Raw genomic sequence first — 16,797 nt, 5'->3', positions numbered from 1 at the left:
TCTAACCATCACACGCAGCCTGTGAGGTGGATACCAGGATTATTCCCATTTTACGGAGGAGGAAACTGAGGCCCAGAGAGCTTAAGTCACACAGGTAGAAAGGAGTGATATTGGGACTGGCACTCACCCAGGCAGGCTGGCTCCTGAGTCTGTGCTCATAACCAGCAAATAATAGAGTCTGGCACAAAGTAAGTGCTTCTTGAAATTCCAGATGTAAAATAGAGAGAGAGAGAGGAAGTAAGAGAGAAGAACGCAGATCTGGCATACAGTAAGTGCTCAGAAACACCCAGAATAAAGTCTAAAAATGAATCCCTGCAGGTGTAGTGCTATACCAACATGGATAGAAAAGTTGAAAACTCAGATGCTGTGAGTTTCAGGCAGACGAGGCGCAAGAACAAAGCAAGCAGCGCGTGGGGTGGTAGGGAGACATGAAGACTGTGGCCAACTGAAGCCCCCAGATCTTGTCTAAAGGGGGCAGCTCCAGGGGATCACTGCCATATAGGAATGGAAGCCCAGTACTGCCAGATCTTTAGAGATTCTGGATTTTATGTGAGGTTATTTATTTATTTACTTATTACTAACTTTTGAGACGGGGTCTTGCTCTGTTGCTCAGGCTGGAGTGCAGTGGCACAATCATAGCTCACTGCAGCCTCTATCCCAGGCTTGAGTGATCTTCCCACCTCAGCCTCCCGAGTTGCTGGGACTAGAGGGGTGCACCACCACACCCAGCTAATTATTTATTTTTCTAGAGACAGGGTCTCACTGTGTTGCCCAGAGGGTCTCGAACTCCTAGCCTCAAGCAGTCCCCTTGCCTCAGCCTCCCAAAGTGCTGGGACTACAGGCGTGAACCACCGCGCCCGGCCTGATCTCTTATTTTTAAAATGTCAGCATGAATTCACCTGAAAACCAAACACACAAAAACACTTTGGGTCATGCATTACAAAACATTTGTGGTTGGACTGGCCAGTTTGGGACCCCCTGGTTGAATGCTCAGCACACCTCCCGAGGTGGCTGTCATTGTCCTCACTTGCAGATAACATCAGGTGAGATGAACTCTTACGTAGTGCTGATGTATCAGACCAGGATTCACTTTGCAGAAAGACCTAAGACCTGTTACATTTTGGCAATGTCGTAACCCACTTCCTACAGCCTCATTTGAGAGCTTTTGATTTATGCCACATCTCTCTCCACTTCCTGTTTACAGATGGGGAAACTGAGGCCCAGAGAGGCAAAACACTTGGCCAAGGGTTTTCTAGACTCCCAGCTGGGGTCTCTCCCCTCCTCCCCCTCCTCCCCAGCTGAGGAGTAAGCTCTGGGCCTTGAGACTGGGATGTAGCTTGGCTTACACCTCACCTTGCTGGGCTCTCACCTGGGCTGCCAGCAGAGGTGTTAAGTGGGGCACAGCTGTGGCAGGGAACAGGGAAGAAAGGGAGGAGGCCAGCTCCCCAGACAGCCTAGACCTCGTATGGTGAGCCAATATCAGTGACACCCAAGTGTCCTCTAGTTCTCAGCCCCCAAGGTGGCCCTGGAGCAGGGACTTCCTCCGGCCCGGGGAACCCAGGGAAGCCCCTTTCTCTGCTGCACTGACACCGGTTCTTTGCCTTCAAAAAGGAGGAAACAAATGAGCTGATGTGAAGACTGAAATTACCCTGGACTACAGATGGCAGTGGGGTAGTGGTGGGACAGTTCAGGGCTCCAGATGGAGGGGGACAGTTCAGGGCTCCAGATGGAGGGGAAGATGCTCCCTCTGGGCAGTTCTAGGTACCCAGCTCCTACAGGGGTCACTGCCAAGGCCAAGATGCCCCAGGAAGGTGGCACACGCCCCGGGGAGGGCATTGTTTCATGTGTGACTACAACCTCTGAATAAACACAGGCGCAGACTCTCAGGCTAAATATAGCCTGGCAAGTGTGAGAGGTGGGTGGGGAGCTGGTTTGGGGGGAGCAAGATGCACCCAGGATGGAGGGGCACCCTTCCCTGAGTCACCTCTGCTGGTGCTGGGGAACCAGCGTTACCTTTAGATGGGCCAGGCCCCGGATTCACATGGAGGGGAACCATACTCTACAGTTTGTAGAGGGCAGAGGTTGGAGGTGGGGAGGTGCACACAGGATGGACTCTGGAGCCCATCAGACTGGGTTCACTACTGAGCCTCAGTTTCCTCATCTGAAAAAATGGGATAATAGCACTTACCTACCCACATGGAGTTGTTTGAGGACTAAATGTGATAGTTCAGGCTTGGTTTCTAATACTTAGTGAGGGCTCCTTGGTAGCTGGTGTTGAATGGCAGGAGAGTGTGGTGAAGAACAGAGAGTTCAAATCCTTGGCTGGGCGAGGTGGCTTATGCCTGTAATCCTAGGACTTTGGGAGGCTGAGGCGGCTGGATCACTTGAGATTAGGAGTTCAAGACCAGCCTGGCCAACATGGTAAAACCCCATCTCTACTAAAAAAAAAAAAAAAAACACACACAAAAAAACCTAAAAACAAAAAAAGCAAAACAAAAACTGGCCAGGTGTGGTGGCATATGCCTGTAATCCCAGCTACTTGGGAGGCTGAGGCACTAGAATCACTTGAAACTGGGAGGTGGAGGTTGCAGTAAGCAGAGATCGTGCCACTGCACTCCAGCCTGAACAACAGAGCAAGACTCTGCCTCAAAAAAAAAAAAAAAGAAAGAAAAAAAAAAGAAAAATAATCAAATCCTGCCTAAGTCCAACTCCTGGCTCTGCCGCTTATGGCTGTGCAGACTTAGGCAAGGGACTTTCCCTTGCTGGGCCTCAGTTGCCTCCTCTGTAAAATGGAGATGTGATCCTTCCTGGGTTGAGTATTAAATAAGCGAATGTATAGAGAGGTATCCATCCTGCTGCTGTTATTATCATAAATCACAGGTCTGGGTTTGAATCCTGACTTTGCCACTCATTAGCTGTGTGACCCTGGGCAAATCGCTTGATGTCTCTGAGCTTCTGCTTCCTCATCTGTAAAATGGGACTCATGATGGTGCCTCCCTCTTAGGGCTGTGCTCTTGGCATAGTGCTTGGCACAAAGCCAACTCTGAGGACATTTGGCCAAATCTGCTTTTGTAGGATTGGTTTTGTTATTCCATTTTCCAGGTGAGAAAACTGAGGCCCAGAGAGGAAAAACTTCCTCGGCCAGCCGGTGTGGCTTCCTGGTCAATTCCCCATCCTACTTCTCTTTGCACCACGAATTTCTAGTCCTTGCTGCCTCAGTTTACGCAGCTGAGAAGTGGGTTTGGGGGGCTCCTCTTACCTTCTGCTCCTCCCAGCAGGATGTGAAGTACCTGGCCATCAGTGGATTTCTCTTCTTGCGATTCTTCGCACCTGCCATCCTTACCCCAAAGCTGTTTGACCTTCGGGACCAACACGCGGACCCCCAGACTAGCCGCTCACTGCTGTTGCTTGCCAAGGTGCCAGCCATGGGTTTCCCCCATCCTAGGTACTTTAGCCAGGGAAAAAAGCATGGTAGGAGCAGAGCTGGGAGGCCAGACCCACAGAAGACCCAAAGAACATCCGAAGAAACCCAAGTCTGAAACACCACCGTTAGCATTCCATCCCAAGGGTGAAGGCAGTCATCATGCACTCCAATTTCCCCTTTGGGAATGAAAACCCAACCCTTCCAGAAGGAAAGTGGAAAACAGGCTAGCAGGCATTCACACCTTAGTATGAATTAGATCATCATTTGCAAAGGGCAACAACTTGAGATTCTGCATGAGAGTACCATGGTAGGACTGAGCAGTTCTTGGGGAGGATCTGGGCTCGGGAGGGAACAGAATAAGGTTAGTGGGGAGTGCAGATTCCAAAAAGAGGAAGGGGAAACAGACATCACCCAAGGAAGGTGTTGAGTCTTCTTATTGATTTATTTTTTTCCTTGAGACAAGTCTCGCTCTGTCACCCAGGCTGGAGTGCAGTGGCACGATCTTGGCTTACTGCAACCTCTGCCTCCTCGGTTCAAGTGATCTTCCCACCTCAGCTTCTGGAGTAGCTGGATTTACAGGCGTGAGCCACCACGACCAGCTAATTTTTGCATTTTTAGTAGAGATGAGGTATCACCATGTTGGCCAGGCTCGTCACAAGCTCCTGACCTCAAGTGATCCGCTTACTTCGGCCTCCCAAAGTGCTGGGATTACAGGCATGAGCCACTGTGCCCGGCAATATGAGTCTTCTTTTATTGAGCACTGATTTGGGAGCCAGGAGGGGCCCTACCCTCTGCTGTGACCTTGGCCCCGGCATCCCTCGCTTCTTTGCTCCAGGCTGTGCAGAGCATTGGAAACCTGGGCCAGCAGCTGGGCCAAGGCAAGGAACTGTGGATGGCCCCCCTGCACCCCTTCCTGCTGCAGTGTGTCTCACGTGTGAGAGACTTCCTGGACCGGCTGGTGGATGTGGATGGGGATGAAGGTGAGTTCCTGTGGTCCGGCCACATCTGGCTTCTCAGCCCAGTTGAGACACCACTCAGGGACTTCCCCTTTCCCCCTCCAGCTCCTCAGCACTAAGAATGTGAATCTGTGGGTCAGTCAACTAACATTTCCTGATACTTACTGTGCTAGGCCCCAGAGATGAACAGAGCTCAGGTGCTGTCCTCCAGGCCCATCCCCAGCCAGTGTGGGGATATGGCTGTGGGCAGGATCGTGGCATGGTGTGCATGCCATTGACAAACATCTATTAAGCGCTTACTAAATAACAGGCACAGTTCTAGGTGCTGGGGATGCAGCAGTGAACAAGACAGAGAAAATCTGATCTCACAGAGCTTTTATTTTGTTGGGGACCACAGGCCATTAGCAAGATAAATAAGCAAGTTATGTGGTATGTTAGAGAGCTGTAAGTGCTAAGAAGGAAAAAAAAAAGGAGGAAAGAACAGAGATCTGAAAGGGAAAAGTTAGAGAGCCTTGAGGATCCTGGGGAAGAGTGTGCCAGGCAGGGCACAGCATGTGCAAGGGCCCTGAGGTAGGACACAGAGCAGCACTGAGGACACCCGTGAAGAAGAGTGAACTGGGGGCAGTGGGGAGGCAAAGAGGCAAGGCCAGAGAGGTGAGGGGGCCAGATCCTGTGGGGCCTCATAGGCCTTGGGAAGAATTTTAGCTTTGACTTGGAGTGAAACAGAATCACAGGATGATTTGTAGCAGGAAAGTTGTGGTTGAGTCCATACCATAATGTGGGGCTCAGGTCATAACCTAGTTGGATCCCAGTCCCATTGAAGCAACCTGTCAGAACGTAGAACCTGGCTGTGGCATGGTGGGGTCCCTATGGTGCTGGGGTGGGGTGGCGGGGCTGTGTCCTGGCTCCCTGAGCATGATTAAATGCTGGACATTGCCTGGATGGGACCCCATAGGGTGTGGCTGCCCCTGCTGGCTGCCTGCATACTGTCTGCAGATTTCTCTGGTTGGAGAGAGGTCTTCAAGGGCTACTCTGCCCTCCCCCTCCTCCCAGCCTCCATGATTGCATCCCCTATTGAGGGAGTGGTCTGAAGTCATCGCGCTCATCCTCCTGCCTCTAGGGGAGCAGAGAACCATGCCCGTCCACTGAGGTCCTCCCTGGGCATGCTAGTGGAGCAAGGTGAGCCTGGTTAGGGAGGGCTCACTGTCCACCGCTCTCTTCTCCCATCTCCTAGAAGCTGGTGTCCCAGCCAGGGCCCTGTTCCCGCCCTCGGCCATTGTTCGAGAAGGCTATCTGCTGAAGCGCAAGGAGGAGCCTGCCGGCCTGGCCACGCGCTTTGCCTTCAAGAAGCGCTACGTCTGGCTCAGCGGGGAGACCCTCTCCTTCTCCAAGAGTCCTGAGTGGCAGGTGGGGTTCCAGTCCACTATGGAGGGCTTTCCAGGGGTGGCCTTTTTCAGTGTGCTGCCTCTTTGTACCCAGGGGGAAACTGAGGCCCACAGTGGGGCAAGGCCCCAAGATGCCATAGCAACTTAACAACGACAAACTCTCAGGACAGGCTCTGCTCACAAGTTCAGGCCAATGTGGGCACAGGACATGGACAGGCACCATCATGCATCCTTCAGAATGTGCACATGCGGTGGCGGGGATACGCCTCCCAGATGTGGATGCACACAGGACAGGGATGATGCTGAGCCTCTCTCCAATGCTCCCACCAGGATCTAGACACATGCTAGACAGACTCATAAAATTGAATGTGTTCACTAGGAACGTGTGCAGATGTTCAGGCACATCCATCCAAGCATTCATTCACTCGTTCATTCATTCAGCAAACATTTATTGAGTGCCTATTATGTGCCAGTGTCCTAGGCACTGGAGATACAGAAGTGAACAAGACAGGTGAAAATCCTGCCCTTGTGGGGCTGGCGTTCATGACTAGAATGCCCCGAGACACGTGCTGGAATCTCCCGAATGGGGAGCTGTGTGCACACCAGTAGATGATGACGGCTAACGCTGAGAAGGGAGCCCACGCTTCCTGTTTCTATTTTATCAGAAGAATGGAGATTCTAGGGGTCAGTTCTCTGGGTTCCAATTTTGGGTCCACCCAATGAGTGACCTTGGAAGCGTCATCTATCCTCTTGCACCTCAGTTTTCTCATCTGCAGGTTGGAGAGAATAACAGAACCAACCCCAGAAGTTTGTTGTGATAATTAAATAAGTTGATCAATGTAAAGTGCTTGGAATCGCGTCCCAAGTACCATAGAAGTGGTAGTTATTATTAACAAGGAAATGGATGCCCAGAGAAGTTGTCACTTAGAGAGGTGGCTGGGCACGGTGGCTCATGCCTGTAATCCCAGCACTTTGGGAGGCCGGGGTGGGCAGATCACTTGAGGCCAGGAGTTCGAGACCAGCCTGGCCAACATAGTGAAACCCCGTCTCTACTAAAAATACAAAAATTAGCCGGGAGCGGTGGTGCACGCCTGTAATCCCAGCTACTTGGGAGGCTGAGGCAGGAGAATCGCTTGAACCTGGGAGGCGGAGGTAGCAGTGAGGCCAGCTCGTGCAACTGCACTCCAGCCTGGGCGGCAGAGCGAGACTCTGTTAAAAAAATAAATAAATAAAAATTAAAAAAATAAAAGGGGATAGGGCAGGACTCATGGAACAGCTCACATGGATGGATGGACGAGCACACAGAGCACAGACTTACAGGGTTGAATGTCCCGCCGCTGGGAACTGACTCCACCTGCTGCACACAACCAGACGGAAGGTGTCCCCACCCCGGCCCTAGCCCCCAGCCCATCCTGCAGCGACAATCCTCTTCCCCAGATGTGTCACTCCATCCCCGTGTCTCACATCCGCGCCGTGGAGCGCGTAGACGAGGGCGCCTTCCAACTGCCCCACGTGATGCAGGTGGTGACGCAGGACGGCACGGGGGCGCTGCACACCACCTACCTCCAGTGCAAGGTGAGACCCCACCGCGATGGGGAGCGGGGGGCGTCCCTCTGTTCCCACCCGCCCCCTGATCGCCTCCCACCCGCTGCAGAATGTGAATGAGCTCAACCAGTGGCTCTCGGCCTTGCGCAAGGCCAGCGCCCCCAACCCGAACAAGCTGGCCGCCTGCCACCCCGGTGCCTTCCGCAGCGCGCGCTGGACCTGCTGCCTCCAGGCTGAGCGCTCAGGTGAGGGGGCAGGGCGGACTGCAGGCTCCGCCCTCCCCACCCGTCAATCAGCGGGTGTCCCACTTCCGCCTGGGCTGGCTGTGCAACCTTGGGCAAGTTACTCAACCTCTCTATGCCTCAGTCTCCTCAACTGTGAAATGAGGTTGATAACAGTGCCTATCTCGTGGAGTTGTGATAATTAAATGACTTGATTTACACAAAGAGCATAGGACGCTGCTTGGCGTATGCGACGTGTTATTTCTAAAGTACTCACTAGGTGCCAGCATCCAGTGGTACTCAAACATCATGAGCTTGTTCTCAAGAAAGATGAGTGCATAACCCAATAATTTTTTTTTTTTTTGAGACAGAGTCTCACTCTATTGCCCAGGCTGGAGTGCAGTGGCACAACCTCGGCTCACTGCAACCTCTGCCTCCCGGGTTCAAGCGATTCTCCTGCCTCAGCCTCCTGACTAGCTGGGTTTATAGGTGCGTACCACTGCACCCAGCTAATTTTTGTATTTTTAGTAGGGACGGGGTTTCCCCATGTTGGTCAGGCTGGTCTCGAACTCCTGACCTCAGGTGATAAGCCCTCCTCGGCCTCCCAAAGTGTTGGGATTACAGGCCTGAGCCACCGTGCCCGGCCTTTTGTTAATACAATGTTATACATTGTTATTAACAATGTATATACAATGTATAACAATGTATTACAATGTATAACATTGTAAATAATAACATTGTTATTATATAAAATAATATATAATATATATAAAATATATATAAAATAATATATAAAATAATGACATTGTTATTAACAATGTATATACAATATATAATGATGTATTACAATGTATAACAATGTAATACAATGTTATAAGTGCCAAGATGAGACGTTTGAGATTCCAGTGGATGCCTCTGACCCAGCCTCAGGATGGGGACTCAAGGAGGGCTTCCTGGAGGAGGTGCTGCTTAAATGTGACCTGAGTAGAGCAGAAGTTAAGCAGCGGCATTGGAGACAGAACTGGGAGATGGGGGTAAGGAAGTGTTGCAGGTGTCATGAGCAAAGGCCTAGAGGTTGGGACAAGGTAGGCTGACGGATGGAAAAGGGTCTGTGTGACTGGAGCCTAGAATGAGGGAGGAGTACCGGGAGAGGCGAGGCTACTGCTAGAGTCTGGGGAGCAGAAGTGGGGCTGGATGAGAGTGGAGGATGTAAGATTCAACGGAAGTAGTGGGTTTTTTTATTTTTGTTTTTGAGACAGAGTCTCTGTTGCCCAGGCTGGAGTGCAGTGGTGCAATCATGGCTCCCTGCAGCCTCAAACTCCTGGGCTCAAGCAGTCCTCTCACCTCAGCCTCCCAAGTAGCTGGGACCACAGACGTGCCACCATGTGAGGCTAATATTTTTGTGTGTGTGTGAGATGGAGTCTCACCCTTTTGCCCAGGCTAGAATGCACTGGTGCAATCTTAGCTCACTGCAATCTGTGCCTCCCAGGTTCAAGAGATTCTCCTGCCTCAGCCTCCCAAGTAGCTGAGATTACAGGCATGAGCCACCACGCCTGGCTAATTTTTGTATTTTTAGTAGAGATGGGATTTCACCACATTGGCCAGGCTGGTCTGAAACTCCTGACCTCAGGTGATCCACCCACCTTGGCCTCCCAAAGTTCTGGGATTACAGGCGTGAGCCACCGCTCCAGACCCAAGGGTAATTTTTAAATTATTTGTAGAGACAAGGTCTCACTATGTTGCCCAGGCTGGTCTTGAACTCTTGGGCTCGAGTGATCCTCCCATCTCAGCCTCCAAAAGTGCTGAGATTACAGGCATGAGCCACCGTGTGTGGCCTAGAAGTAGTAGGTTTGAGGAGGGATTTTACAGGAAGAAGGAGCACGGCTTGGCGAATGCCTGGCTGTGGAGGCTTCTGGAAGGGGAGAGGGAGTTACTGATGAATGAAGCTGTGTTCCCTCAGCCGCCGGCTGCAGCCGTACACACTCAGCTGTCACCCTGGGGGACTGGAGTGACCCACTGGATCCTGATGCTGAGGCCCAGACAGTGTATCGGCAGCTGCTCCTGGGGCGGGACCAGCTCAGGTGGGTGCCCCCACCCATCCCACTTCACCTCCTATGACCAGCCAGGCCAGCCCCCCACCGTGGCCTTGCTGTGTCCATTTATTCATTCTTCCCATGTGTGTTGGTGGATATTCCCCGGGGGCCTGGCCCAGGGTGGGGACTGGGTGTCTACACAGTCAGGGCTTGGGAAGCATCCTCAGTGGGAGGGGTCCCTTATGCAGAACTGGGTCTTGGGATCTTTTAATACCTGGAGCTCCAGAGACCCTGGCACAATTCACATAAAATCCTGGCCCCCTGCGCTTGCTAAATGACCTTGGATAGATCTCTTCCCCTTCCTGGCATGAGGATCACTATCACTGTTATTTGGTGACAGAGATTTGTCCCAACTCATTATAGAGTGGGTTCTGAAGCTGACCTGTCTGGGTTCAAATCGTGACCTGGCCACTTACTAGCTGTGTGATCTCTTTTTAAAAAAATTTATTTATTTATTTACTTAGACAGAGTCTGGCTCTGTTGCCCAGGCTGGAGTGCAGTGGCATGATCTTGGCTCACTGCAACCTCTGCCTCCTGGGTTCAAGCGATTCTCTTGCTTCAGCCTCCCACATAGCCAGGATTACAGGCACTTGCCACCACGCCTGACTAGTTTTTGTATTTTTAGTAGAGACGGGGTTTCACCATGTTGGCCAGGCTAGTCTCCAGTTCCTGACTTCAAGTGATCCACCTGTCTCGCCTTGCCCTCTCAAAGTGCAGGGATTACAGGCATGAGCCACTGCACCCAACCAGTGCATCTGGAAAAGGGGGATAATAATGGTGGCGACCTCGTGGGTTGTCCTGAGGATCAAATGAGCTAATACAGGTAGAGCACTTTGTAGGTGCCTGGCCAGATAGTTAGCTTTCAATAAGTGATAATGATGCTGCTGCTGATGCTGTGTGACCTTAAGCAAGTTACCTAACCTCTCTGTGTCTCAGTGATCATCTGTATAATGGAGCTAATAGTAAATACCTACCTCATATGAGTTTGTCATGATAATTAAATGAGTTAATACATGTAAAAGGTTTAGAATAGTATCTGGCACTCTAGAAATGTTTGCTGTGTAGATGATGATGATGATGATGGTAGATGGTGATGGTGATGGTTCAGGAAAACTAATTTCTCAGAGAATTTCTGGGGTAGGAAGCAGGAATGGGAATCAGGGACCAGACTTGTCTTTCTCCCTCTTACCTTCCAGGCTGAAATTACTGGAGGATTCTAACATGGATACAACTCTGGAGGCAGACACAGGTAAGGGCTCCTGTACCTCAGAAGGTAAAGGCTGGGTGCAGTGGCTCACACCTGTAATCCCAGCACTTTGGGAGGCCGAGGTGGGTGGATCACTTGAGGTCAGGAGTTCGAGATCAGCTTGGCCAACATGGTGAAACCCTGTCTCTACTAAAAATTTAAAAATTAGCCGGGCGTGGTGGTGCACACCTGTGATCCCAGCTACTGGGGAGGCTGAGGCATGAGAATTGCTTGAGCCCAGGAGGTGGAGGTTGCAATGAGCTGAGATCATGCTACTGCACTGCACCCTGGGCAACACAGCAAGACTCTGCCTCCACCCCCAAAAAAAGAAGCTAAGGGGTTAAGGAGGTCCCTTTTTCTTCGCAGGCACTTCCCCACTGTCTCCTGTGTCCTCCTGTTTCCAGTCCATTATCAGGCCACAGGGCTGTGTGTGGGGATTCTCAAGGATTTTAGGGTTCTCAGGGCACAAGGCACATCTTCAGCATGAGAAACCATTGGGTCCGGGTTACAGCAGCCTGCCCTGGACTGGCTGAGCCCCTGTGGCCTCTTGTCTCCCTCCTAGGGGCCTGTCCTGAGGTCCTGGCCCGGCAAAGAGCAGCAACTGCCCGCCTGCTGGAGGTGCTCGCAGACCTGGATCGTGCCCACGAGGAGTTCCAGCAGCAGGAGCGAGGGAAGGCGGCCCTGGGCCCCCTTGGCCCCTAAGGAAATGCCAGAGCTAGCCCGGAAGGAGGAGCAAGAGCCAGGGGGCCCTCTTCAGCGCATCCTGCCCCGGGAGTCTCCTGTCTCCTTGGACCTCTTTGATTCTGTGGTTTGGAGGCTCCCAGAGACGTGCCTAGTCCTGTGTGCCTTGAGTCCAGAACTCAGGGCATGGAAGCCCTTTGGCAGGGGCCAGCCTTGCACTGAGTGAAACTTGCCCTCTGGCTTGATTCAGACTGGAGTGGATAGGATAAGGAACCTGACTTATTTGACTGAGACTGGGGTCTCTACTTCACCAAACTGGCCTCTATCCATACCAAGGAGGCCAGCCTGGCCCTGAGCTGCTGGATACAGCTGGACCTGAATTCCTGATGCCCATGTGATGTTGTTGCCCCAGATGGGCACTAAATGGCCTCACTCCTTCCTGTTTTCATGTCTGCTAATCCCTATAACCTCACTGATTCTTCTGTACCCTGCCCTTGGCCTAGGACTCCAACCACAAGCTTCCAGAATCAGGTGCCCTCAGGAAGAACCAAGGCTGGGTGGGGGTCCAGTGTGCCAAACTCAGACCCTTGGAGCCTGGGAGACCTTGGGCCAGGCTGTTTATCTCTCTCTGGGTCTCAGATTACCCTGTATAAAAAGAGGAGGGAAAGTCTAGATGTGTGGTTTTCAAACTGGATTCCAATGAGGTAGTTCAAGAACAAGGGAGGAGTTTCTCTGACTGTGGGCCAAAGACCACCCGCTAGAATGTCTGCTAGAAATGCAGATTTCTGAGGCCCAGCCAGCTACTGACTCAGAATCTGAGGGTATATGAAGGCAAGAATCAGGGTTATTTAACAGATTCCGTAGGTCATTTGGATGAGTATCAGCTTTGAGGACCACAGGCCTGGGGAATGGGCAATTTTATTTTATTTTGTTTTTAGAGTTGGGGGTCTCACTCTGTTGCCCAGGCTGCAGTACAGTGGCATGATCATAGGTCAGTGCACCCTCAAACTTCTGGACTTCAGTGATCCTCCCACGTTAGCCTCCAGAGCAGCTGCGACTACAGGTGCAAGCCATCACGCCTGGCTAATTTTTAAATTTTTGTAGAGATGGGGGGTCTCACTATGTTGCCCAGGCTGGTCTCAAGCTCCTGGCGTCAAATGAGCCTCCCGCTTCGGCCTCCTTAGTTGCTGGGATTACAGGTGTGAGTCAGTGCCTGGCTTGCAATTTTATATGCCAGAGTTTGGGTTGAGGTTTTGTCTGAGAATGAACCACGGAGTACAAATGTTTGGGAACATGTGACTGGCAGAACTGGAAGGGCCTCCAAGGACTCGTTTCCGGTGTTGTGTCACTAGGGGGTGGGACAGAAACCAAAGCCTACCTGGCAGGGGATCAAGTGGACCAGGAAAGACACGGCGCTATCCCGAGGGTGGCCAGCAGGGGTTGCCCGAAGCCGCAGCATCCACCAGAACTACAGGGGCGTCCTGGCATGTTGCAGAGAGGCTGATTTAAGGCTGGGGTCCATCCCTGTTTTTCCCTAGTTAGAACCTGACCCTCCTCCCCAAGGACAGGGTCCTGACAAGCTCTGAGATCCTGATGAGCTGATCACAGTGTCTCCCAGCTCCTCCGTATTTCCCTCGAGGCTCCCAGCTCTGCACCTGAGTTCCTTGTTTCTTGTCATTGTGCCAGGGAGCAGATGTGTGCATTGCCTTGTGCTCTTGTGAAAGAGAAGGGCACTTTCACCTCTGCATTCTTGGAGACTAGGACTAGGAGGGTCTGCCACTGCTTCACCGCCCCCACCCCTTCCAGCCCGAGGCAAGGACCCTGAAGTCATTCTCTTGCAAGCCATCACTCCCCAACGGGGCTGACTGCAGCCCCCAGGAACAGAGCCACCCACCCCTCTCTTGGCAGGAAAAGACCAGGCGAGGAGGAGAAAGACCATTTATTTCTCCACCCACAGTGGGACTGGTAGGTTTTGAAAAGAGCAATCGCTGGCATCCCTTTAAATCTTGGCTGACTCCCACCGTGGCAGCCAATCAGCAGAGGCGGAGCTGGTGAGTTGCCTGGGCAACAGGCCCCTGGTTGGCCGAAGACAATTAGCCACCCCACTGCCCACTCCCAACGAAAGGGAAATTGACTCTCTGCTGTCCACTCTGCTTTAAAATACATCGGCCCAAACTAGGCCTCCTCCTTTCGCTCCTGAAGTCAGAAGCGCCAGCCTTTGGCTCTCAAAATTGGGAGCGATTTGGTGGAGAGGATGGGGTAGGGAGGATGGGAGAACAGCGCCTTTATCTGGGACAGACAGAAGGCCTGGAGATGGGAAGGGAGAAGGAGATCAGAGTCCAGAGAGATGAAGAGGCACAGACACAAAATCAGGACCCTCTAGTCCCCGCTCGTGCTGGCCATTCTTTTGTAGAACTGCTCAGTCATCTGGGGGCTTCCACCCCATGGGCCCACAATTGCCCAATCAGTGGGTGGCAGACATGGGTGATGACACGGAATGGGTGAGGCATCTGGGGTACACTGAGTTTCCCGAGTCCCTCTTTGCCCCCCGAGCCCTGGCAGGCCCCTAAGGGCTTGCCCCGCATCCTCCAGTTTGCAGACAAGGCTGTACAGATGCAACTGAGACACAGATGGGGATCCACATGGGGGGGTCATGGGGTCTTTCTGTCTCTTCTCTTCCAGCCTGGGGGCAAGTACAGGCACGTGGGTGTGCGTGCATGAGTTCAACAGGACATGTGTGTTTGTGTGTGAGGGGGCGGGTCTCTGTCTTTTTGGTAGGGAGGTTTCCAGTACTCTCTGCTTGGCCCTCTCAGGGAGCTATGATTCGGGGCCAGCCTGACATGCCATCTCTCTTCATCCCAGCTGCCACCAGGCAGGTCCCCTGAATGGCTGCGGCCCCTTCCGCAGGCTCCTCCCCAGCCCTGAACCTGGGCTACCAGGACACACCTGGCGAAGGAGGCATTTGCCGGACCAGGGGCAAAGCAGGAGGGAAGGTGGGCAGCCTTGGGCCTCAAGCCTTGGCTGCAGCCTCGGATACGCCCTGGGCTGTGAGCTCAGCCAGCACGTTGTCTAGGTAGCTAGCGTCCGGGTAGCCGTGGCCCGTGAGGTTGGATCCAAACTCGGTCTTGTGGTGGATCTCGTTCCACACCACGGTGTCCGACTCGCCCGTGGTGTTGGACGTGCCGATAGTGAAGATGAGTCTTCTCTCCCAGGCCGTGATGAGCAGCCGCAGCACCTGGGGGGACAGGGACACAGTGGGGCCGGGAGGAGGTCACAGGCAGCTTCCAGCCCACCAGCCTCAGCCTCCCTCCCTCCCCTGCCACATCATGGCTACCTTATGGCTTCGTCCATTAGCACCAACTACGTACTGCTGGCTTGGCCATTTCCTTTGCATTTGTATTTCCTGAACTTCCAGTAAAAGCTCTTTCCAAGTTACTTATGTTTGTTTTTTCTTTTCTTTTCTTTCCTTTTCTTTTTTTTCTTTTTCTTTTTTTTTTTTTTTTTTTTTTTGAGGCAGAGTCTTGCTGTGTTGCTCAGGCTGGAGTGCAGCAGTGCAACCAGAGCTCACTGCAGCCTCGAACTCCTGGGCTCCAACAATCGTCCCACATCAGCCTCTCCAAGTCTCACTATGTTGCCCAGATTGGTCTCAAACTCCTGGCCTCAAGTGATCCTCCCACCTCGGCCTCCCCAAGTGCAGGGATTACAGGTGTGCACCACTGCGCTTGGCCTGCCTGTTTTTTTTTTTGTGATGGAGTCTTGCTCTGTCACCCAGGCTGGAGTGCAGTGGGGTGATCTCGACTCAGTGCAACCTCTGCTTCCTGAGTTCAAGCAATTCTCCTGCCTCAGCCTCCCAGGTAGCTGGGACTACAGGCGCACTCCACCACTCCGGATAATTTTTGTATTTTTAGTAGAGACGGGGTTTCACCATGTTGTCCAGGCTGGTCTCAAACTCCTGATCTCGTGATCTGCCCGCCTTAGCCTCCCAAAGTGCTGGGATTAGAGGCATGAGCCACCACACCCGGCCCTGCCTGTTTTTTTCTGGGGTGAAGAAAGCATCTGGCAGCTCTCTGCTCTATTTAGTTTGGACTCCACACTATATTAAAGAGCCACTTGTAAATTAGTTACTAACATTCAAAAGCCTAGAGATTTCCCATGAAAATCTGGATTTCTTGGTGCTCTTGAAAAGCAGAAAGTCAAATCAGACAACCTGTAGGGTGGTGGTGACAGCTTGGACTGCCTGGGCTCAAATCCCAGCTCCGCCACTTAGTTTCTCTGTGACCACAGTCAAGTGACTTGCCCTTTCTGAAGCCTTGTGTCTTTGTCTATAAAATGGGGTCAGGATCTTGACCTCAGTGGCTCAGGAAACGAGATAAGATGTGTGAAGGAGGTGGCTGTGGTCGTTACTGTTCGGGTGCTGCTTTTGGGAGGAATGTGAGAGCAGGGATTGGGAATGATGGGGACCACAGGCCCAGGCCAGTGGTTGCTGGAGCCCCTGCCTGTGCCTATCTCCCATGCCCTCACGGCTGGGCACCCACCTTCCGGCCTTTCTCGTTGTTGGGTAGATAGCAGTGGCGAGGGAATCCTCTTGCGGTGAACTTCTTCCCGGGGTTGGGGTGCTCAGGGCCCTGCAGAGAGGGACAGTACAGGGATTTAGACCATGAACAGGTGGTGGCAGGGTGGAGAAGCATCTGGAGGAGTTGGAGGGGTGTGGGGGCTGGGGGCCAGAGAGGCGGAAGGGGAGCCCACCTGGATGCCTGTGGGGATGTCATAGACGATGCGGATGGTCTGGGTATCAGGGAAGCCGGGCAGCGAGTGGGGGATGAGGTGGAACTCCATCTTCCCAGGCGGCTGCGTACCCGTCTTCTCCCCGTAGATGGCCTTGCAGGTGGGGCACTGCAGGCTGCCATCCTGGGCAGGGGAGGCTGGCAGTGAGTTCCCAGCACCCCCCCAAACCCCACTCCGTTCCCTGCCCACTCCTCAGCCATTGTCCCGCCCAACCCACCTTGTTGCCATTGGAGTACATGGCCACGAGGCACAGCAGGTGGTACATGTGGCCACAGCGGCCCAGGCGGCCCACGAGCTCAGGCCGCACGCCCTTGTGCCGAAGCACGCCCTCGTAGCCTGATGCTGTGACCAGTCGCTCCATGCAGATGGTGCAGTCCTGCAGGTGGCAGCAGGGGAGACTGAGGACTGGGGAGGGCAGGGCACCTACTGGGTCAGCACTGCCCCTTGGTGGGTCACCATAG

General features: G+C 52.9%; 2 protein-coding genes across 23 annotated transcripts in view, besides 2 other annotated features; one reads left to right on the top strand and one right to left on the bottom strand.

Moving 5' to 3' along the window:
* RASAL1 (RAS protein activator like 1) overlaps positions 1–12,223 on the top strand; it is a 37,479-nt gene extending 25,256 nt beyond the window's left edge. For 7 of the 22 annotated variants that reach the window (XM_047429676.1, NM_001193520.2, XM_005253950.5 and 4 more), the window contains 8 exons: positions 3,276–3,416; positions 4,260–4,404; positions 5,615–5,787; positions 7,203–7,340; positions 7,420–7,555; positions 9,492–9,612; positions 10,821–10,873; positions 11,433–12,223. In XM_047429676.1, coding sequence (XP_047285632.1) covers positions 3,276–3,416; positions 4,260–4,404; positions 5,615–5,787; positions 7,203–7,340; positions 7,420–7,555; positions 9,492–9,612; positions 10,821–10,873; positions 11,433–11,572 — 1,047 coding nt within the window. In that variant the 3' untranslated portion in view covers positions 11,573–12,223. Of the gene's footprint in view, positions 1–3,275; positions 3,417–4,259; positions 4,405–5,614; positions 5,788–7,202; positions 7,341–7,419; positions 7,556–8,409; positions 9,613–10,820; positions 10,874–11,432 lie in introns of those variants that run through there. The other 15 variants (NM_001394082.1, NM_001394083.1, NM_001394084.1 and 12 more) reach the window with 9 other exon arrangements.
* Positions 12,992–13,251: an enhancer, noted in NCBI's record as "active region_7061". NCBI's record gives its function as "activates an Ori minimal core promoter by ATAC-STARR-seq in GM12878 lymphoblastoid cells {active_cell/tissue: GM12878}" and the evidence as "EXISTENCE:reporter gene assay evidence [ECO:0000049][PMID:35858748]".
* Positions 13,468–14,009: an enhancer, noted in NCBI's record as "H3K4me1 hESC enhancer chr12:113535297-113535838 (GRCh37/hg19 assembly coordinates)". NCBI's record gives its function as "activates a minimal SCP1, AML or CMV promoter by ChIP-STARR-seq in naive H9 embryonic stem cells {active_cell/tissue: H9 hESC(naive)}" and the evidence as "EXISTENCE:reporter gene assay evidence [ECO:0000049][PMID:30033119]".
* The window catches only part of DTX1 (deltex E3 ubiquitin ligase 1), a 41,296-nt gene continuing 37,974 nt past the window's right edge, over positions 13,476–16,797 (bottom strand). Inside the window, exons 7-10 of the mRNA NM_004416.3 lie at positions 16,554–16,712; positions 16,298–16,459; positions 16,087–16,176; positions 13,476–14,786 (exon numbers count right to left, since the gene is read on the bottom strand). Coding sequence (NP_004407.2) covers positions 14,562–14,786; positions 16,087–16,176; positions 16,298–16,459; positions 16,554–16,712 — 636 coding nt within the window. The 3' untranslated portion in view covers positions 13,476–14,561. The remainder of the gene's footprint in view (positions 14,787–16,086; positions 16,177–16,297; positions 16,460–16,553; positions 16,713–16,797) is intronic.

This window comes from Homo sapiens, chromosome 12 (assembly GCF_000001405.40).
Source record: "Homo sapiens chromosome 12, GRCh38.p14 Primary Assembly".
Taxonomy (NCBI): Eukaryota; Metazoa; Chordata; class Mammalia; order Primates; family Hominidae; genus Homo; species Homo sapiens.
Note: the sequence above shows the minus strand (reverse complement) of the source record. Positions and strands in the feature narration are given on the sequence as shown.